At 39.3% G+C, this 24,246-nt stretch overlaps 1 protein-coding gene across 17 annotated transcripts in view; it reads right to left on the bottom strand.

Moving 5' to 3' along the window:
• Positions 1-24,246, bottom strand: part of NLGN4X (neuroligin 4 X-linked) — a 338,826-nt gene that overhangs the window by 202,796 nt on the left and 111,784 nt on the right. The gene's annotated exons all lie outside the window — the stretch shown is intronic.

Here is a 24,246-nt window from a genome sequence, read left to right on the forward strand (position 1 = left end):
AAATCTTACAAAAAACAGAAGACAGAAACTAATAATATAAAAGTCAATTTAGGAGACATGGGTGCAAAAATGAGAATCTCATATATCAAATCAAAATTTGAGAAAACAGGAAGAATGGAGAAGTGTCAGTATTTGAAAGGTGATCCCTAAGATCTTCAAATAATGATTAAATATATGAATCCAAAGGCACAGAAACCATAGAAAGAATGGATAAAGCAAAAAAAAAATCAATATTGACATGAAACTGATGAATGCCAAAAATAAACAGGAGATCTTAAATTTTAGCCCTTGCCAAAGACAACCTGTGCATAAAGTTTAACTCAAAACCAACTGACATCTGTATAGCCAGAAGACAGTGAAATGTGAAATAATGGTCCACCTGGATTTGCATAATAAGCAAAATTATCTTTCAGGAATGAGCAGGGAACAAAGGTATTCAATCAAACAAAAACTGAAAGAGTTTATAACAAATATTCATGATACATAATAATAGCCTGTAACTAGGGAGACAGGTGATTGGTATTTTCTAGAATGGAGCTAAGGTCTTGCTTAATTTTAGACTTTAATGACTTAAATGTGAGTTTTACAACTGCAAGCTTTTCTTGAAAAGTAGAAATCAAGTAAATGGCAAATTAAGAAGAAAATACAGAAAAAGAACAAACTCATTTATTAAAAGGAATGCATAAAAAAGGAAATCCGAAAGATTAAAATACGTTGAATTATATCAAATATCTTCAAACTCATAAATAGCATAAGTTATGCAATTACTAGACTGAAACTGTCACATTGAAAAAAAGAAATTATAGATATCTGTCATATGAAATGATACAACCATAATATCTGAAATTACTAAAGGTGAAAATATAAAAAATATATTCTCAGCAATAGCCAACCCAAAAGTAAAAAAGAAACAAGCATATTTCTACTAATATTGGATATCTATTGTAAAACAGAAAGCATTTTAAGAGATAGCAAGAATATTACATAGTAAAATATTTCATTCTTCAAGGAGATAACTTGTTATATATTTTATGCCACATACGTTCTTTAAAAAACCCCAAATCAGTAGTATTATAGGAAGAATTTATAAATTCATTCATTAATGGAAGATACAAAGAAACCTATTTTCAATTTTAATAGATCAAAAAATAGGAAAAACAGATGCCATAAACAGTTAACCGATGATTTGATAGACAATTACATAATTTTGTATCTCATCATTAGAAAATACACACAAAACACTTAAAAATTAACTGTTTATTAGAACGTCACACAAATCTCACTTAACACTTAATAGACAAATACTGAAATACTGTGTTTTAGAATTTACAGGAGGCAGGAAAATTAGCAGTAGAGAAAATTTAAAGCCATAAATACTGACATCAGTAACAAACACAAGGGCAAAAAGTAATGAGTGAATCATCCCACTTAAGAAATTAGTGGAGAAAAACAGAAGAAACTAAACAGAAAGTAGAAGGAAGAAGGTATAAAAAGGAAAGAAGAAAAGCTAAAGATGCAATAGCAAGATTTGGCAAGGTTAAAAAGCTGGTCCCAGCTGGGACCAGCTTCTCTATTCATATGCACTTCTGGCTTCTGGACTCTCTATTCTGTCCCACTGTTAATGTTTTTCCCTGTGCCAGTGTTATAGGAACCCACCGATGCTTCAACCACACCTAGAATTAGAGTATCCAAGTCCCAGTTGGCCTGGGACTGAGATATTCCCCAGGTGAGGAGATTCTGGTGCTAGAGCTGGCAATGACCTGCACAAAGATGACAGATCACCCTACTTCACATTTCTGTTATGGGGTGGGGGGATACTAGACAGGGTATGCATTGCATCTCAAATATTTCTACAAATGAATGTAGTTAGGATCTTGGAGGAAATTTCTAAAGAAGATCTCAGAGGATCTGCTGCAGGTTATCGAATAGCCTAAGCCATTTATCAGGTTGGCCAGAGGACTTGAGCCACAGAAATACAGAAAAGTCATCGGTTGTCTGTTTCTGTATTGAAGCATGAAGGGAAGTAGAGACATGAAGTATGAAATTGCCAAGTCAGGGTAAATACATCTAGGGTGCAATTTGGGGTGAATCATGTGTAAATGTTTATGGTGTTAATGAAAAACGTTGCAGCAATTTTTTTTTTAAAAAGAGTAATTTTATCAAATTTGCACATTGGAAATCCTGCTATGAAAAGAGTTCCATGTGTACGAGCCTTAGTTGTTGAATTCTATTTTTAAATGGCTAAGGCTTTAAGTACGTGCGTGCGTGTGTGTGTGTGTGTGTGTGTGTGTGTGTGTGTGTGTGTGTGTGTGTAATTATGGCAATGTTGCTAAGTGCATAAATATGCGCTCTGAATTCCAGCTTTGGGTAGACTCTACTCAGATTGCATGCTATTTAATGATTGCATTGACTCTGAAGCATATATGCAATTCTATACTATTGCTGATACATGCTTTTATAAAATAGCAGTGCTGCTGGAAAACAATAGTTGCAAAACAACAATGCCTCAAGCTGTGCATAAATCAGGGCTTGTAAAACTCATAAGCTGCACTTCAACTCTTAAGCAACTGTTACCTTAAAGAAGAACTAGCCTTTCCACAATATCTATTGATTAATATGAAATACTAAAAGAGGTTTTGTTTCATAAACTGTTGCTTCTTGGCTTCTAAAAAGATACAGTTTTACCTTTTATGATTTTATTACATAATTGTAAAGAAATAATTGTTGAAAGAAATTCACGTTCCTGTAATTCTGATTCTACCCCATATATGTTAAGGAACAATAAGGTAACACAATAGATTAGGCTAGGATTACCATACTGGTGCTCAATGAAGACAATGCTGCCCCCTCAGGAGCCACTTGGCAATGCCTGCAGGTAGTTTTGGTTGTCACAATTAAGGATGGGCGTTAGGTGTTAAAGACTTGGAGTGGGTAGACGCCAGGAGTGCTGCTAAACATCTTACAACGCACAGGAAGCGCCCCAAAAGTTTTAATAGTGCTAATGTGGACAAACCCTGAATTTGGGAAAGAAAAAGGTGGAAAAATCAAAATGGTCCCTGGCCAGGATGCATGCATCACCTGTTTATAGCCGCTACATCTGAATATGGAGGCTGCAATGACCAATGGTTTGGAGTATCAGGGCATCTGGAAATATTCTACAGCATGAAGCTAACTAATTGTTTGTTGTGCCAACAGAAAACAGTTACCATAACACAGAGCTGTCTGTAGGTACAAAATCCAGAACTGCGTTACAATATCTGCCTTATGAAGAAGTTATGTTTCAGAGCCAAATTCCACAGGACACTGCATCCTGAAAGTTCATCCTAGTGGTGACTTGGAGAGCTAGGGGGATGCCTAACCACTCATCTGTCAAAAAACAGCTCTGTCATTCTTCCTCCCACTCTTTCTTGAGATTGAATGGTGTATTAACACTGGCTTTTCATGTTCTATTGAGCCTCATTTCCTGCATTTAGGAACCAGCCTTCCCTACAGATTAGAGGCCAAGCTAGAGCTGAAAAATAGAAACAACAAGCTTGTTATCTGAAATCACAGCCATCAAAAATGCACTCTATAATGCCCCCGATAAAATGTTAACCCTTAATGTGATAGCCTCAAGATTAACCTTTAGAATATGCACCTTTAAAAAAAAATAATGGTACAACATCTCCCAGCACAATAATTGAATTCGCAATGCAGCTGAGTTGTGGAAGTGAATTCACAAGTGTCCCTAGACTCCTCAAAGGCCACTTGAAGAAGAGCGGACTGTTGTATGTCATTATGTGAGAAATTTAAGGCCAAAGAGGTTAACTCGCTGAGAGACTTTGGCTGTTTGATGTTAAAGCCCCATTGTCAGAGACTCTCATCTGGAGGCCAACATTAAGGATGCTATAGAGGAAAAAGCACACACATACGAACATGAGTATCTTCTTAGCATGAAAATCTAAAAGACAACATCATTTGCGCCAGAGGCCTTGAGCCACAGGGAACCTAACCACGAAATGCAGAAAAATCATGGGTTGTTTGTTTCTGTATTAGATTGTGAAGGGAGGTTGGACTCGAAGTACGAAGTTGCCAAGGACATTGATGGTGCTGTTGAAAATTTTCATATCGTGTGTGTGTGTGTGTGTGTGTGTGTGTGTTTTCTATCTTCATCTTTCATCTATTGTGGTAACATCTTAACATCTCCAACTGTCATTATTGATGAGTCTTTCTTTGCATTTATTGCTAATTGTATAATTAACAGCTCTCTTATTAGGTGTACACAAATTAACATTATTAGTTCTCTTAGGTGAATTCTTCCTTGTATCATTATGAAATGTCTCTCTTTTATTTTGGAAATAATCCTTATCTTGAAGGTATCTTTGCCTGATATTAATAGAGCCATCTCAGCTTTCTTGGCTTTTTTTTTTTTTTCCTTATTTGTTTTCATGATACATACTTTGAAATATTCACACAGTGTACATATTTTAAAGATATGAATCTGACTACAGACTTACTAAAGACAGTCATTGACAACATTGTTTTCATTGGATACTTTTTTGAAAATGTTTATAGCAGAGGCCAAAGAACATAAGTAGGAGAACAAATACAATCTAATGAGAGAGACTTGGGGGTGTTGCTGTGGTTGCAGGAGGGCAGGACTCTGAATACCCCCTTACCCTAAACTCCACCTAGTTAGTCCCTCTATGTGAACCCAGACACAAATGTGCTGAACCCGAAATCTGGGACACCTGGTTTAGTAAGATGGAGAGTAGAGAAACACTAAAATTCAAAAGAAATAGATCGAATGTATTCATAACACTTGCTAAGAATATACACCATGACCCTTATGTATCCTAAAACAATGCCTTTATCACAAATGGACTCTCACCTATAAGAAAAGGTCCATGTCACTCATTAGTTCAGGGACACTCCCTCATTCGATGGCTTAGCAACTGCATTCAACTCAGACCAATCCAAACTCAGGCTTAAAAAAATAACACGTCCTCAAATCATGGCCCTTTACAGCTACAACATTAAGAATTAACATCTAGCATTTCAAATTGGTAACAAAGGTGAGCTGTCTACAATCTACCTTTGGGAAGAAAAAAAAAAGTAAAACCTCAACAGCAATAAATGAATAATGCTCAACTGAAATATGAGAAGAAAATAAACCAATTAAAAACTAGAGGGTGGGGCGCGATGGCTCGCACCTGGAATCCCAGCACTTTGGTAGGCCCAGGCCGGAGGATCGCTTGAGCCCAGGCATTTGAGACCAGCCTGGGCAACGGAATTTGTAGAGACAGCCTTGCCTCTACAAAAAATAAAATAAGCTGGGTGTGGTTGTGGATGTTTGTAGTTCTAGCTACTTGGGAGGCTGAGGGAAGAGGATTGCTTGAGCCCAGGAGTTGGAGGCTGCAGTGAGCTATCTATGATCACACCACTGCACTCCAGTGTGGGTGGCAGAGCGAGGCTCTCTCAAATAAAATACATAAATAAAAATAATAATAAAAAAATAAAAACTAGAAAAGCACAAGGTCTTAGGAAGAAATTGACATGTATGTGAGACTCACTAATCACACCCTGCAAATGTCTTCTGAGTGAGAATATGATCTCCCTAGTGCAGAAACCATTGTCTTAGTTGCCTTTGTGTCTCCAAGGTAAACCTTTGGGCTACATGACAGAAGACAACAAAGGGTGCTGATCCAATGCTTGAATGTTATTATAGAAAAGTATCAAGAATGAAAGAAGAAAGAAGTCTACAGGATTGTATAATATAAACGGCCTGCGTACTTTTATTGTCTACCCCTGCCTGCATTTCCAGCTTCCCCTCCTGCCTAACTCCCCATTGCCGCTGTTCTCAAGCCACACCTGTCACTTCAGATCCTGACTGCACTGGGCTCCTTCGAGCCCTGGAGTCTTCGCATGAAAGTCCCTCTGCTCACCAAGACCTTCTTACCCTAATAACTTACTACTGCCCCTTCAACCGCCCGTTCTCAATATCAATATGTATCCTCACAACTGGATCAGAAACTTTGGAAACCAGCTCTACCAGCATCTAACATGTATTTCAGTTTGTAATTATACTTGTGGGTGATCTGATGATTATTTTTCTTCAACTGCTGGAAGAGTTTCTCAACCTTGGCACTGCTGACCTTTTTTGGTCAGATAATTCTTTATTGTGAAGGGGGTCTGGCCTCTTCCCACTAGACATCAGCAACAAATCTCAGTCATGACAACCTACACTGTCCTTAGACATCGCCAAATGTCCCCTGAGGCAAAATTACCCCTGGTGAAGAAATGCTACATCAGAGTATAAGCCACATTAAATAAGAAACTATGTCTTTTTTGCTCCGTATTCAATGTCTAAAGTCTAGTACCATGAAGAGTACATAGGAGATGCTCATAACATTTAGATGGATAGATGAATAAACCACAAGTAACTACAGGTTAATGTCAGGTCTGGTTGTAGCTCGTAGAATATTCTGGGATAGCCAATTCAGAGCAGCAAGTCCTGTGTATCAATTTCTATCAAACTTTGAGCACTAAAATGGCTCTGAAGTATATGTAACAACAAAGAATGCTTATTTTCTTCTATGAGTTTTGTTGATCAAAATTACTTTGTTCTTTCTTGGACTCTAGTTGGTGTCTGATCTCTCTCTTTGACAGCAGAAAACTTGTCCTCATTCACTTAAGTGTTTCCTGGTATCTATGACTAGGCATCAACCTTTTAAAGTTGAATGGATAAAAAAGTATCTACTATCCATTCTTACACCATAAAGAACTACTTATATAATAATACCTGGTACACAGCAAGTGCTCATTAAATATTTGTGAAGCTGAACTGAACTGTATAAATCAGCATTAATTTATAATTTAACACAGAGGAGGCAAAGGATGCTGGAAAAATTATCAGATGACAATGTGATGATGTCCATTTGAAGTCAATAGACTTGTCTTTGCTTGTTGCAAATTAAATTCTGCATAATCAGTCTCCCTAAGCTTTGTTTTTCTTCTCTGTTAAGCCAGTAGAAAATGTCTTTATAGCCTGCCAAGACCAGCTCGGTCCGGGAGACCCTAACCCAGCAGCGCTAGAGGAATTAAAGACACACAGAAATATAGAGGTGTGGAGTGGGAAATCAGGGGTCTCACAGCCTTCAGAGGTGAGAGCCTCAAACAGTTCACCCACATATTTGTTAACAGCAAGCCAGTGATAAGCATTGTTTTTATAGATTATAGATAACTAAAAGTATTCTTTATGGGAAACAAAGGGATGGGCTGAAATAAAGGGATGGGCTCTGGCTAGTTATCTGCAGCAGGAGCATGTCCTTAAGGCACAGATCGCTCATGCTATTGTTTGTGGTTTAAGAACACCTTTAAGCGGTTTTCCGCCCTGGGTGGGCCAGGTGTTCCTTGCCCTCATTCTGGTAAACCCACAGCCTTCCAGCATGGGGGTCATGGCCATCATGAACATGTCACAGTGCTGCAGAGATTTTGTTTTGGCCAGTTTGGGGGCAAGTTTATGGCCAGATTTTAGGGGGCCTGTTCCCAACACTAGCCTAGTTCATCAGTTGCTGTATAAAATGTGAAAATGTCTGTGAATGGCTATGTGTGGAAAGCATTTACTTTGGTTTTATGCAAAGCTAAGTCAGGGTCTTCACTCAATCAAGTCTTATGTGGTACAGCTGAGTGTTGGAAAATACAAGATAACATATAGCTGCAGGTAGAGTCCAGTGGGAGCTCCGTGGAGGGAAATTTATCTCTACCCAGAAGTAGTTGGCAAAGGAATCTTCTGCAATCTGTCTCAATGAGTGGGAATTAAACAAATAATGAAAAGTAGAGAGGACAATACAGATAGAGAAACAGATACCATACCAACGGCAGTGATAACATTAGAATTCATTTATTCATTCATGCACTTCACAAATATTAAGCTTTGAATAAATAGGCCTAGACTCTGCAAGGTAGTACTGAAGAAAACAAAGACCCACAGTCTTGGAGTTTATATTCTGAAGACGATAAGCAGATAAATATATATACGATAAACATATATACCATGAATATAGATCTCTGATCAACTCCTTTCTCCTCATCCTTCTCAATGTCATCAACATGAATATCATCTTTATACTTGAGGCAGACTAGAGATCGATTGCATTCCAAGAGGCAGGGGAATTGTGGCAGTCCCAGGAGGTAGGAAAATCATGTCTCCCAAAGGAGTCACTTGAAAGAAATATAATTAAATATGAAAAAAATAAAGAAAAAAACCAAAACATTTAAACTATAAAGAGAATGTACTTTTCAGGATGCCCCCACGTGAGGCCTCTCAGAAATGTAATCTTACTTTAAAACTCAATATGACATTGGAAATAATTAACAAAATATGCCATGCAATATTCAGGAATGGGAGACAGATAAACAGATGGATGGACAGATAGATAGATGGTACAGTATGCTATAGTCTGAAAGTTCTGTCCTCTCAAAATTCATATGTTTATATCCAAACCCCCAAAGAAAGGAAATCAGTATATCAAAGAGATATCCACACCCCCATGTTTGTTGCAGCTTTGTTCACAATAGCCAAGATTTGGAAGCAAACTAACTGTCCATCAACAGGTGAATGGATAAAGGAAAATGTGGTACATATACACAATGGAGTATTGTTCAGCTATAAAAAAGAATCAGATCCTGTCATTTACAACATAGATAAAACTGGAGATCATTATGTTAAGTGAAATAAGCCAGGGACAGAAAGACTGTTATCATATGTTCTCACTTATTTGTGGGAGCTAAAAATCAAAAAGATTGAACTCATGTGCATAGAGAGTCAAAAAAGGGTTATCAGGCACTGGAAAGGGTAGTGGGGGTGGGATGTGGGGAAGTGGGGTGGTTAATGGGTACAAAAATTATAGTCAGAAAGAATAAATAAGACCTAGTATTTGCTAGCACAACAGGGTGACTATAGTCAATACTATAGTCAATAGTAATTTAATTGTACTTTTTTTTTTTTTGAGACTGAGTCTCGCTCTGTCGCCCAGGCTGGAGTGCAGTGGCATGATCTCGGCTCACTGCAACCTCTGCTTCCCAGGTTCACGCCATTCTCCTGCCTCAGCCTCCTGAGTAGCTGGGACTACAGGTGCCCGCCACCACACCTAGCTAATTTTTTTGTATTTTTAGTAGAGATGGGATTTCACTGTGTTAGCCAGGCTGGTCTCAATCTCCCGACCTCGTGATCCGCCTGCCTCAGCCTCCCAAAGTGATGGGATTACAGGCGTGAGCCACCGTGCCTGGCCTAATTGTACATTTTAAAATAACTAAAATAATATAATTTGATTGTTTGTAACACAAAAGATAAATGCTTGAGGAGATGGACACCCCATTTTCTATGATATGATTATTATGCATTGCATGTCTACACCAAAATATCTCATGTACTCCATAAATATATATACCTACCATGTACCCACAAAAATTAGAAATTAAAAAGAAAAAATATATAAATCTTAATCCCCAACGGGACAGTATTAGGAGGTGGGCGCCTTTTGGAGGTAATGAGGTCATGACAGTGGAGTTTCATGAATGGGATCAGTGCCCTTATAAAAGGGATCCCACAGAGCTCCCTTGCCCTTTCCACTATGTGAGGACACAGTGAGAAGGCGCTGTCTATGAATCAGGAAGTGGGTCCCCACCAGACACTGAATCTGTAAGCACTTTGATCTTGAACTTCCAGCCTTCTTATGTGTGTGTATATAATTTTGCTCAGTTACATAACAAAAACCTGTAAGTAATTTGCTGAACTAAGAGAGAGAGAGAGGATTGATAGATATATACATACATACATACATACATACATACATAGACAGATAGATACATAGATGCATAGAGATGATAGATACATATAGATAAGATAGATCGATATATATATAGATACATACATATATGCATACATACATACATAGATACATAGAGATGATAGATATAAATTAGATAGATAAGAAATCAACAGATTAGATAGAGAGAGAGGGGTAGATAGATTAAATAGATACTTCACATGTAGAGACACTACTTATCAGGAAGGCATAGTGAGACATTTAGTCAATTGTATGAGTACATGATCATCAGAAAAATGACTCAATTAACAAGATTCAGGGTTCTGAGGAAGGTGATTAGGGAAGCTGTGAATTCTCTGTTTTGGGAAATTACTAAGTTTGAAAACACAACAGCACTCCTTGAAAGTATGCAATGCTCAGCCCGTGGGTGTGCAGGTGGTATCCTGTGGTTGCTTTCTACTGCTCATTTTCTGACATAAGCATATATTTGGAAAAGAGTAGATACTAATTGAGATGAGGTTTAATATTTACTTACACTGGTGGCACTCATAAAGTGCTTATCAGTGGAAACAGAAGGAGAACAAAATTAGTTCACAAATCTCATGTGATCGCCCACTCTCCCAGCCTAGACAAACTCACTCATGTGCCTTTTGTCTTTTTCTCCCTGGAGTTCCTCTCCATTCCAATTGTTCCTCCCCTCCATTTTCTGGAAGGAAAGCTGGGATGGATTCCAACTTCTCTTGTTCCTTTTTAGAGGGTAAAAAATACAACTTAGGGTAACTAGTAGACATAACTAAATGTTTCAAAATAGGGTGAAAGGGATGAGATGGAAATCACAGTTGCATGTCTTTCTGCAATGTCTAGGAGTGCAGAATATGAATGAGCCAAATATTACTACATAACAACATCTGCGAAATTTTACTGAATCCTCCTAAATAAGTCAGTGAATCTCAAATCGTACCTGTGCAGATGTGGACACCATCATTTGGATATTCTACCATCATTACATAGAGCTTTCCTGCTGGGTAGAGTTACAGTAGGACACCTGATAACTGTTTTCCTCGCTACAGTTCAACACCTATGAAACCTGATGTCAACGCATTGGTACTTAATACATCAGTATTTTATTTCAGAATGTTATCAAATTTGATTTTAAAACATTAATAGTCACTAGTTCGATGTTGAAAGGAAATACACAGTATCTCTAAAGCACACGCACCTTATGGTATTATGAATTAGACCATAACTTTGTGGTACATGATGAGCATTCAAAGCATTGCAAAGAATAGTAATAGAATACGTATGTGCAATTGGGTGCACCTGAGTGTTGCACTTGTGCGTGAGGCATGTGTGTGTGATTTGCATAAGTGTGCATGCATTGTGTGTGTATGTGTGTGCACATATAGGTACACATAAACTAACTTCTGAATCTGTTAAATGTTTTCTGGTACCGCACAGATCTACACCTTACTTTTCAAAGTTGCTAATATTTATCCTAAATTTCACCTCCACCGCAAATTCTTCCATCATCAAACATTTACCTTCTACTTAGTAATAACCAGCTTAAAGCACTGTTGGAATTGCATGTGACTAAAAATTTCTAGCAATACAGAAATAGAAACTTATGCTTGTCAAGAGAACAGAAGGACATACTGCATAAGATTTGGCTTGCTTCATAATCTTCCCAAGTAAGGGCTTTAGACGATATTATTTATGATGAAATATGTTATCAACTACATTCTCAGGTGGATAATATCTAACTGCACATGAGTTTCTGTGTTCATTTGGCAGAGTTATAGCTCAAGGCATTTATCAGTTGTTCATTTATATTTATTTCTCCATCTTCTCTCTCTCTCACTTTTATCCTGAAGATCTTTTTTGCTCTCTCTCTCTCTCTCTCTGCTCAGACTGAAATAGAAACCAAGATGCAACGGAAACTTGGACCTAGGAACCTGAGAAATATTCTCACAAGAGTGCCTTCAGTACCTCATCTTCCCCTCAGACTATTTAGATGATCAGACTGGAGTTACAGAAAGTGAACAAAAAAGGAAGAGTCAAAGGGACAGGAGAGGATGGGCAGTCTGGAAAGATCAGGAGTCCCTGAGATGGCAGAAAGAAACAGATGACAGACAGATTAAGGAGATACCTGCAAGCCTCCTGCATGGAAGGTCAGGAGCACGGACAATGTATATGGAGTTAGAGGTAGGAAAACAGAACCTCACACCCTAATCCAAGTTGAACCAAACAGATCCAGTGGCCTGAATTTAATAGCAGAGATGGAACCAAAACTGTTAGAAAACTATGCTGCGTAAACTGTTATCATAATTCAGATACTGGGACGGTAACTGGATTAGCAAGATAAAATCACATTAGACCATTTAATCAACATTATTTTACAAACGTGAAAGTGTATTATCTCCTTTTTTTTTTTTGAGATGGAGTCCCACTCCGTCTCCCAGGCTGGAATGCAGTGGCATGATTTTGACTCACTGCAACTTCCACCTTTCAGGGTCAAGCCATTCTCCTGCCTCAGCCTCCTGAGTAGCTGGGATTATAGGTGTGCACCACCATGCCCCACTAACTTTTGTATTTTTAGTAGAGATGGGGTTTCACCATGTTGGCCAGGCTGGTCTTGAACTCCCGACCTCAAGTGATCCACCTGCCTTGGCCTATCTCCTCTTTAGACAAACTTGATTCATGACATTGTGTGTGACACATTTATGTAATTTAGAATATGGAATAAAATGTTTTACGTGACATAATTTAACAAAGTTAAAGCACAAGCAAAAAAAAAAGTACATTAGATTAGCAAATTTAAAATATACTAAGAAATTTTATGTGAACAAACGTAGGTGGGTTCATTTACTTTTCAGTACTTAGAGACTATCGTCTAGCACGTTTTCTTAAGTAACTTATTTCATTTCTCATTAATGTTAATGGGGAAATTACCACCTAACTAACTGCCACTGAGTCTCAGAACCAGCCCTTGGAAACCCATCCCAATCATTAAGCCAGGAGTTTAGCTGGCAAACTGCACACATAACACAACTCAGTCCCAGGCTCTTTTCTCCAAAAAGAAATGACATTATTTTGATGGAAGCCACTTTTCTTGATTTGCATAATCATCCATGAACACAACACAGATGTCAGTCTTTAAAGGTAAGGGAGGTGGTTAGATTGTCTGTTGTTCTTTGGAAATCATAAAATTATTTCTGCAGTCATTGCATGAGGTCCAGACTAACACATCTCTCTCCACACAACTATTTTCCACTGACCACCAACATTATCAATGAGACCTTTGATATCACAGATCCACCAATGGGGATCTGAAACCCTTGGGAATGAGTATGCTTTTGTGGACAAGAGGAAGGGGACTCAGAACTTTTTAATTTTTTTACATCTGTTTTATGCAGCACCCTCAGAGGAATATGGAACATCACTCCCAAATCAAACTCATTAATATTCCTGCAGGAAAATATCTAAATGTCCACCCTGAGGTGGAAAAGAAAGAACACAAATAGTCATCTGTCAGATCAGGTTTTGCCCCCAAATGAGTTTTGATATCACTGTAAAGTTTTGAACTGTTTTTGACTTTCAAATTGTAGATAAGGGACTCTGGATCTGTATGTCCTCTGATTTCTATTAACCAGTCCTAGAACAGTAAACAAAACAAACACTAAAGAGCACCCCATTTACAGAGTGGTTTAAGTCCACTGAAGTTGGTTAACACTTGGACCCTGAAAATCCATGCATACTGTATGGAATCAATTATGATGAATGTGAACAGTTAATTAGACAAAAAGAACCTCCTTGCATCCACCATTACAGTATAACACAGAATATCTTCCCTGCCATAAAAATCCTCTATGATCCACCTATTTATCTTTTCTTTCCCCATCCCCAACCGAAACTCTGACAATGATGGATTTTTTATTGTCCCCCAGTTCTGCTTTTTCCAGAATGTCCTATAGTTGGAATCATACTGTATGTAGCCTTTTCCCATCAGCTTCTTTCACTTAGTAATATGCATTTAATTTTCCTCCATGTCTTTTCATGGCTTAATAGCTCATTTCTTTATAGCATGGAATAATATTCCATTGTCTGAATACACCATAGTTTATTTACCCATTCATCTATTGAAAGACATCTTGTTCACCCAGAGGGTCTCTTAATCTTGATACTTCCCACAAAACAGAACTAGGAATCAGCGGTTATGTCAACTTTCCAGGGAATCCCTACAAGTGGAAGGCTAGAATGATAGGACAAAGAACTGCCTGTGCCTCTCCAGGCAAAAACCTGCAAACATCTAGCAAAAACCTTAAGCACTCTTGAAATTCATTTATTCAGATAACCTAAAAATTGAAATATGAATTTATGCTTTATTCTTTCTTTACCAATATAGACATGGTCTCATTGATTTGTGGACAATGATGAGCTTGAATTCAATGCGAAGAATCTTTGAACACTTTCACATACTTTGGCCCTAGTTCTACCACAGCTGGAGGAGCTCTGTTTCACTTGATCGTTGTGCTGGATGCCATTCGGCCACATGGCTTATTCCAGCCGCTCTTGTGGTGATCTGCTCTGCCTAGACTTCAGCCAGCTTCACGCAGGTGCAGCCTCACTTCATACCTGCAAACTTGCCTTTTTCTTGATTTCCTGAAGTTTCTCTGATGCCTCACAGTGGATGCACACTAAAACCTACTTAGCACTCCCCAAGCAGCCTGGAGAGGTTACCCCCAGTAAACTAATAAGAGGTGAAAGATGGTGTGAATATGGGTCCTCCATTTTCACCGGGTAAAGGTGGTCTGGAGACACATAACATAAGGGTTTTCAGACAACCTCACTGGGTCAAGCAGCAGTCACTCCTCTGTGGCCAATACACTTTTTTGTGTTTTTGTTTGTTTTTAAATTTTAATTTGGATTCAGGGGTGCATGTGCAGGTTTCTTACATGGGTATATTGCACACTGGTGACATATGGACTTCTAGGGTTCCAATCACACAAAGAGTGAACATTGTACCCATAGGTTAATTTTTCAACCCTCACCCCCTCCCAGCCTTTCCCTTGTTTGAGTCCCCAGTGTTGATTGTTTCCATCTTTATATCCATGTGTACCCATTGTTTAGCTCCCAGTTATAAGTGACAACATGCTATATTTGATTTTATGTTTTTGAGTTATTTCACCTAGGATAATGGCCTCCAGCCACATTCATGTTGCTGCAAAGGACATGATTCCATTCTATTTTATGGCTGCCTAGTATTCTGTGTTGTAGATGTACTACATTTTCTTTATCCAATGCACTGTTGATGGACACTTAGGTTGATTCCACAACTCGGCTATTGTAAATAGTGATTATTTCTCGTTCCTTCCCACAACACAGTGCTGGTTCCTCATCCCTATTTTTGGCATAATATTTGCAATAAACAAGGGTTTTCTCTAAACCTCTGCTTTGAGTGGAATCTGGGCTAGGAAAATACACAGTGGATCGAAATGTGCAGCCCTTACTGCCAACAAAATAAAGACTCAAAGTGAATTGGCTTTTGAATGTGACAGGTGTGTAGCCAAATGCCCAACACTAATGTTGATGTCAGCTTCAAGTCAAAGCACCAAAGCCTTCTCACAGAAATTCATTTTCCAACAGAACTTAAGCTTACTTTATTTTGGAATCTGCAGGATACTGTGAATTATTATTAAATATTATTTTTTGTAGAATAACTATGAATGCACACATACCAAATAAAAATGGTGGCTCATGCCTGTAATCCCAGCACTTTAGGAGGCCGAGGTGGGCTGATCACTTGAGCTCAGGAGTTCAAGAGCAGCCTGGCCAACATGGCAAAACCCTGTTTCTACAAAAATAAATAAATAAATAAATAAAAAATTGGCTGGGCATGGTGGTGTGCATATGTAGTACCAGCTACTCTACTAGGGAAGCTCAGGTGGGAGGATCACTTGAGCCCAGGAGGTCGAGGCTGCAGTGAGCCAAAATCGCTCTACTGCACTCCAGCCTGGGTGACAAAGCGAGAATCTGTTTCAAAAAAAAAGGAAGAAAAATACTGCGTAGTTGTAGAAATCAATTTTCCATGCCATGCAAGGAACTGATGGCAGAATTTGGTGTGTAGGTCTGCTCTTTAGTTAGTCAATCCCTGCTCATCTCTCAGGTTTTGGACTACATTGTGCTTCCCCTGGGAAGCCCTCCAGGCTGCCTCCAAGATTGGATCAGATGTTCCTGCAGCTGCTCCTAAGCATATCACTGTTTTAAGCAGCATGAGACTAACCTCATTTTAATCTCATTCTTATTTCATTATCTCTAACAAAAACTCTAGGTAATGGCCAAGCACAGTGGCTGGCACCTGTAATCCCAGCACTTTGGAAGGCCAATGCAGGAAGATTGCTTGAGGCTAGGATTTTGAGACCAATCTGGGCAATACACTGAGATGCTATCGCTACAAAAATCAAAATAAAAAATTAGCCGGATATGGTGGCATGCACCTATAATACAAGCTACTCCAGAGGCTGAGGGTGGAGGGTCGTTTGAGCCCAGGAGTTCAAGGTTACAGTGAGCTATGATTGCACCACTGCACTCCAGCCTGGGTTGATAGAGCAAGACCCAGTCTCTAAAAAAATAAAACAACAAAATCTCTAATACCCTATGTACTGCATTTACAATTTTATAAACCTTCAGAAACCAAGTAATACCTGGATGTAATATTATAAATATGGTGCAAAACATTCAATCACGTGAAATACAGGGTTATATTAGAATGAGGTCAAAACTATGAGCAGATTGTATGGAGATTGGGGTTAGCCATGCCATAATCCAACTTTTATTATTACAGACAATAACAAAAGGTTTTACTGTAGCAGTATATTAACTAATCCTAATGAACAAAAGAATTAATGAATTGATTCACTGACTTGTTCTTTTAAGAAAACTTTCGCAATCTCTCACTTTCTGATCCAGCAATCCAAAAAGGTCAAACAAGGGTCTACAGCAGTGATCTTACAAACCCAGACCTTCCATAGCTGCAGAAGTCAGACATGCATTGATCACATGCATTTGGGTGTGCTCACTGCATCTGTGAGCAGTCTGAGCGAAAAAATAAAAACAAACAAACATAAATGTAGAATGTGCAAACCCCATAGCTAACTCTACTATACATTTCTCTTTCAAAATCACTACTTTATTTTGAGATTGCAAACCTTTTTCCAAACCTGTTAGGATCCAGTCTCCTAATTATAGCAGTTAGGGCTCAAAGGGAGGGTTTCAGAAATAAGCCAGATTAGGGGGTACAAATGTCAGCATCACCTGACTGGTTAATGTGCCTGGGAGGTGGCTAGTCAAGCAGCAGAAAAACGCTTTCCTGACACAGAAAAGGAAAATCACAGGTTTCACTCCCTCCAAAGCAAGGCTGCCATGTATAATCTTTCTCTCCTTTCTCTTCTGCCAAGCCACACAGAAGGGCACAGCCCCAAGGAGAGACTAAAAACATATGTGGAATTATAGTAATATCTCCATTAGCAACTAAATGTATTCCAGAGATGTATGGCACAGTCAGAAACTTTGCTCACAGGTACAAAGCCAATCTAGGGGGTGGGGGCAGGCTGCTGTCTAGACGCTCAGAGTCAAGTGGAAAGAACTTCCCAGGGCTCTGCTGTTCCCTCTCTGCCCTCACTCCTTATCCACAAGAGGCTCCCACTCACAGACAGTAAGTACCCCTTGCAAGAAAGAAATTTGGCGACCCTCCCAATTGCAAGGGGGCTGGGCTGTCAGAATCCTGAGTTTCTGTGCATCCCTCCTTGACTGGGCTCAAACCCTATAAGCAGATACGCAGCAGATTGGTTCTTCTAATATGCTTCTCTACTCCTAGGCAGCCTTCATGCTGGAAATGCATTTAATTATAAATTATTAATGGAACGAAGGGGCTGTAGAGAGTTTCTTCTCTGAAGCCCCTGTTCCATGGAGGCAGGAAAAATCAGAAGTGTCCCTCTCACTAGGAGGAGCATATCTGGACAATAAGCAAAAATCCTGGAAAGAGAAAGAAATGCAGTTGCCTGTAGAGGCACTTGTAATATCCACCCAAGAGAAACAGCTTCTATGTACTTTGAGACTCTGGCTAACAAATTTTTGAGTGTCTCCTCTCGGTCATCATTGTGAAGGACTTTGGAGGAACTAGAAATTGAAATGGAAGGCAATAATAAGAAAATTCTTAGACCTCAAACCTGTTCCTGAATCTGCACACAGACAGAGGACTCAAGGTTTTGCATTAGAAGTGACAGGTGCGTTACTGAAAGCTGAAGCCCTTAGAGGTGGTTCGAGGCGGAAATACCTACTCTGCCCAGCAAAGCGAAGCTAATCCTAACCCTAACCCGAACCCTAACCCTAAAAGACCATGATGCAAGGCAATGAGCTGTTACAAACCATTCTCATTTTAAGATATAGGATAGCATTGGTTTCCTTATTTAGTTTTATTTCAGTGAAAGTAAAAATATGTGAAAGGGCTTACATAGATTCACTCAAGTGCAGAACACCCCAAACCTAATGTATCTTGTTATATAGTCTGAATGGTAGTGTCCTCCCAAAATTCATATGCTGAAATCCAATACACAACATGATAACTCTACCCTCATGAATGGGATGAGTGTCCTTATAAAAGAGGCTGCAGGCCCTTCCACCTTGTCCCTTCCAACATGTGAGGATAAATCAAGAAGATGCCATTTGGGGGAATGGGCCCTCACTAGACACTGAATCTGCTAGCACCTTGATCCTGGACTTCCCAGGACCATGAGAAATAAATGTGTGTTGTTAGCTGGGCAAAGTGGCTCATACCTGTAATCCCAACACTTTAGGAGGTCAAGGCAGGAGAAATGTTTAAGGCCAGGAGTTCAAAACCACCCTGGTCAACGTAGTGAGTCCTCATCGCTACTAAAAATTAAAAAAATAAAAATTAGCCAGGGATGGTGGCACACACGTATGGTCCCAGCTACTCAGGAGGCTGAGGTGGGAGGATCAGTTGAGCCCAGGAAGTCAAGGCTACAGTGAACCATGATCAAGCCACTGCACTCCAGCCTGAGCAACAGAAAGAGACCCTGTCTTAATGATAATAATAACAATAAATGTCTATTGTTTATAAATTACCCAGTCTAAGGTATTTTGTTATAGCAGCCTCGACAGACTAAAAAATATCCCTATATCTTACCCTGGGATATTAAAACATACATTTATAGCTCTTAAAGATGAAATATTGTAAAAATTTTTTAAATATTCAGGGTAGCAAAAAAGCATTTGGTTGGCAGGAGAATAATTTTAACCAAACAAGCTAGAGTCATGAACAAATACATTCATAACCTGGCTTCTTGTATGTCAAAGTTAACTAGAAAATACTTATATGCTAAAATGTCAAATATAATTTTGTTTTGCTGGTCTACCTTCTAGATAAAATAACTGCATGTTCAGTGCTTGAAAATTAAAAATGATCAGTCTCAGATTATTTCCTACAATCTGTTGCAGAGGGGGGACAAGGACTAAAAAACTTCCTGTGCTCATTATCTGGGCACAGAATAACCTAGTGACGGGATCAACGGAAGCCTGAACCTCAGCAACACACAAGATACCCTTGTAACACACCTGCAGACGTAATCCTTGGATCTAAAGTAAAAACAGGGATTTTCTAAAAAGCTATCCCTCAGGAATTTGAAAAAAAGTTACGTAAACACAAAATCTATGCAGATAAACAACATCACATTAGATTACAACCCAAAGTATAAAATAAATATCCATGAGTCCATACTGATATATGTAAATGAGGGAATAAATAAATGAGTAGGCGAGAATAGGCACATCTCTCATGCAAAATAACTTCAAATAATTTCTGTAGATACTCTGCCCTCAAGGAGGGGATTATAGTCCCCGCTTTCTTTTTTTTTTTTTTTTAATTTATTTTTGTTTTTTTGAGATGGAGTCTCGCTCTATCACCCAGGCTGGAGTGCAATGGCGCGATCTCGGCTCACTGCAATTTCCTTCTCCCGGGTTCAAGTGATTCTCCTGCCTCAGCCTCTGGAGTAGCTGGGATTACAGGTGTGAGCCACCACACCCGGCCTCCTGCTTTCTTAAGTGTAGGCTGCACGTAGTGACCTCTTTCCACAGGGTACAGTATAGAAAGTGTGTGTGCAGGAGGACGAACGTGATACTGGAGATATCTGGCCAACATCACCTCATCCATGGGATCAAGGTTAGTATCAACTGCAATGTCATGGTGCTAGTATGTGCCCTTGATACAATGTAATGAAAGTGGCACTTCACCTCTGGTCTTCCTCTGCACAATCCATAGCCCCCCAGTATAACCATGAGAAAAACATCAGACAAACCAAACAAGGTACCAATCCCGTGACCAGCCCTCCTCAAAACTGTTAAGGTCATGAAAGACAAAAGAAGAAAAACTGTCACAGTCAAGAGGAGCTCAAGGAGACATGACGGCTAAATGTAATGTGGGATCCTGGATAGGATTTGAGGAAAGAAAAAAGACAGAAGGAAAATACCAACGAAATCAGAAGAATGGGTGGGCTTTAGTAAAAAATTGCACACATATTGGCTCATTAATAGTGTCAAATGTACAATAATGATGTAAGGTGTTTCTAGTAGTGGAATTTGAGGGTGGGGTATAAGGAAAACTCTACACAATCTTCGCCAATTTAGCACAAATCTAAAATTAAAGTTTCTTTTAAAAAACTATTATAGGTAATATTTTTCAAAACAATAATTCATATATATTTAACTTTTAACTCAGATCATGTAGTAAAAAAGAAAAATCTAAAAATAAAAAGTAGTGACACAGGTATTTATCAAGAAAACCTGTAGTTCTTTAAGTTTTGGAACTTACTAGATGTTAGAGAAAGACAAGAAACTAAAAACTTACAACATTGCAATAAATCTGAAATCCTGAACTGTAAAAATGGCCCAGAATTATAACATCCTAAGGGCTCGTTGCAATGCCCTGGCTTTCAGTGAATATTAACATTCAATCCAGGTGGGAACGTGCTTGTTTCAAAAAAAAAAAAAAATGCACGATACACAAATAGCAGATGGACTTAAGGACTGACTTATCCATCCATAACTGAGTGATTGCAGTCTGCAGAATTAGATCTACCTCTGGGTTTTTTGTTTTGTTTTGTTTGTTGCTGTTGTTTTTGAGATGGAGTCTTGCCCTGTCACCCAGGCTGGAAGTGCAGTGGCGCAATCTCAGCTCACTGCAGCCTCTGTCTCCTGGGTTCAAGTGATTCTCTTGCCTCAGCTTCCCAAGTAGCTGTAACTACAGGTGTGCACCACTACGCCCGGCTAATTTTTGTATTTTTAGTAGAGAGGGGGTTTCACCATGTTGGCCAAGCTGGTATTGAACTCCTACCTCAAGTGATCCACCCAGCTCAGCATCCCAAAGTGCTGGGATTAGAGGCATGAGCCACCGCACCCGGCCTACTTCTGTTAAACCAATAAGTCTTAAAGTTTTTCTAAATTTCTATATTCTCTGGGTTTCTTCTACTCCATGAAAGAATCATAGATTTAAATCCTCAGAGACTTTAAATGGCTTTAGGCAAAAAAGCATGTGTGAAGGAAAAGACTTAGTAGGATATTAGTCACTTTACTTATTTAGTTTATTTTATACTTATGGAATTTATTGGGACAAATTCCAAGGTTGTGCTGTTGTTTATAATATAAGATAAAAGTCATACTTCTTGTGAGATTGCCTTTTAAGCCACATCCTACCATTTTCCCTGGCCTATGCAATCAGTGTTATAACTTAAAGCTCTAATTTAATGGAAAGTTCTTAACAAAAAATAGTCTCTGCAAAGTCAGCCTCTTTCCATCAAAGTGGCAAACACACACACACACACACACACACACACACACACACACAAACATGCACACATACACCTGCTTGGAATAAGAAAGTTTACTTTTATATGAATTATTTACTTTTCTCCTTTATTATTTTAGTAACGAAAATCAGATAAACTAAACACTACATATGAGGATTTTTTTCTTAATACATACAATCATTAAAAAGAAAACACTGAGGCACAGCTATTGGTAGTGACTGAGGGTGGAGGAGTTGTGGGATTGGTGAATTATTCCATCCTTAGGGGAAGCTCAGTAAACAATCTTGCCAGCCTTCCACATTTCTGCCTTGTCACAAAGCCTCACCATCGTCCTACAAACCATCGGTGTCCTGCAGATAAGCTGTCACACAGCAGGTTCTGTCTTTTGTGAAATCTACAAAAAATATATCCCTAACAGAAATAAACAGTAGTCACCATATCTTCAATTGTTATAGTCTAAACTAAATGGGTTCATGTTCTAAAGTGGATCTTCATCTCTAAATGGTTTCTAGGAAGAAAAAACAATAATAATTTAGAAACAATGCCTGTGTGTTGGAATAAGTGTGCTCTTTTTTTGAGCAAATGGCCAAGAGAACCACTTAATAATTCAGAATCAGGTAATTCCAGGAGGATGGATGAATTTCGGAGGAAATATGGTTGTAGGTGGGCCAGTAATAACTCATAAAAATGTAGAGTGAATGACTACAATACTTTAAGAGACATTTATTCTTAGGGACTGGAAACAAAACAAATTCTACAGGATCACGGTGGCACATATCAGAACAAAGTCATGTTGTGCCTTGGGAATATAGGATAACTCATGCATCCTTTTTAGAAGGAACAGGATAGGAAATTCATGTTCAGTGGACACATTTCTCTAACGAATATTACAGGACTCCTGTATCATTGTAGGTAATGGCTGGGCAAAAATATGCCCCTGTTCTCAGGGGCTTCATGTCGCCTTGAAGGAGAGAGATGAATTAACCCAAGCCCTAGCATCCCACTGAGGGACGAGAAGGTAAAGTTGGCATGGTAGAACCAAGGAAGCCAGAACTGATTCTTGCTGAAGCAACTGCAAAAGATCCAGAAATAGTAGCTCTTGGAAAAGTACAGACTTGGAAGGAGCATTTCAGGAATAGGACCACGTGGAGGCAAAAAACACATAGATGGATGCTTTCTGTAGTGGGAGAAATGTTTTTAGAACTGGAGAGGTAAGGAGGTCAAGGCAGAATCTTTGTGATTGTCTTCTGTCTCTATGCAACAATTAGAAGCATCGTTTTAACGTGCACACCTGACTCTGTGGCTCTCAAGATGCAACATCTGTTCCAAATGCCCAGTGCTTTCCTGTAAGCTTAATAGGAAGACACCACCCAATTCTCCAGCTTTATCATGCACAGCTTCTCTGTTTGCTCAAGAATTAAGAGGTGAGCGAGAAAGTGCTCTCACGGAGTTAGAGTTACCTTTACAAATGTAATAAAGAACTGAATGAGGCTGGGCGCGGTGGCTCATGTCTGTAATCCCAGCACTTTGGGAGGCCAAGGTGGGTGCATCAGGAGGTCAGGAGATGGAGACCATCCTGGCTAACACGGTGAAACCCCGTCTCTACTCAAAATACAAAAAATTAGCCAGGCGTGGTGGTGGGCGCCTGCAGTCCCAGCTACTCGGGAGGCTAAGGCAGGAGAATGGCGTGAACCCGGGAGGCAGAGTTTGCAGTGAGCCAAGATTGTGCCACTGCACTCCAGCCTGGGCGACAGACCGAGACTCTGTCAAAAAAAAAAAAAAAAAAAAAAAAAAACACTGTGAAAGAGCGGAAACTTTGAATTCACACGTCCACTTTCATTCAACAAGTAGGTATTGAACCTTTCTTTCTTTTTTTTTTTTTTTTTTTTTTTTTTTTTTTTTTTTTTTTTTGAGACAGCGTCTCACTCTGTCGCCCAGGCTGGAGTGCAATGGCACGATTTCAGTTCACTGCAGCCCCCGCCTCCCAGGTTCAAGTGATTCTTCTGCCTCAGCCCCCGCCTCCCAGGTTCAAGTGATTCTTCGGCCTCAGCCCCCGCCTCCCAGGTTCAAGTGATTCTTCTACCTCAGCCCCCGCCTCCCAGGTTCAAGTGATTCTTCTGCCTCAGCCTCCCGAGTAGCTGGAACTATAGGCATGCGCCACCATGCCCGGCTAATTTTTATATTTTCACTAGAGACAGGGTTTCACCATGTTGGCCAGGCTGGTCTGGAACTCCTGACCTCAAGTGATCCGCCCGTCTCAGCCTCCCAAAGTGCTGGGATTACAGGCAAGTAATCCCAAGTGCCAAGAAGTGCTTTTAAGTGCCAAGAAGCTTTCCAGTTTTTGGAGATACAAGTTTCACAATTAACATACTTCATTTTTCTCTTTATGTGTGTGTTTAGTGTGTTCTAATGGACTGCCAGGTAGTAGATACGATTTTGGTTGATTGCTTTTGGTCCTGCTTTTTCCACATAAGAAAATCAAATTTTTCTTCATTATTTGGTGAGGACATTTTCATGTCAACAATGCACTAATGGGATTAGCCGTTCACCTTATGGGAATT

This window comes from Homo sapiens, chromosome X (assembly GCF_000001405.40).
Source record: "Homo sapiens chromosome X, GRCh38.p14 Primary Assembly".
NCBI classification, from domain to species: domain Eukaryota; kingdom Metazoa; phylum Chordata; class Mammalia; order Primates; family Hominidae; genus Homo; species Homo sapiens.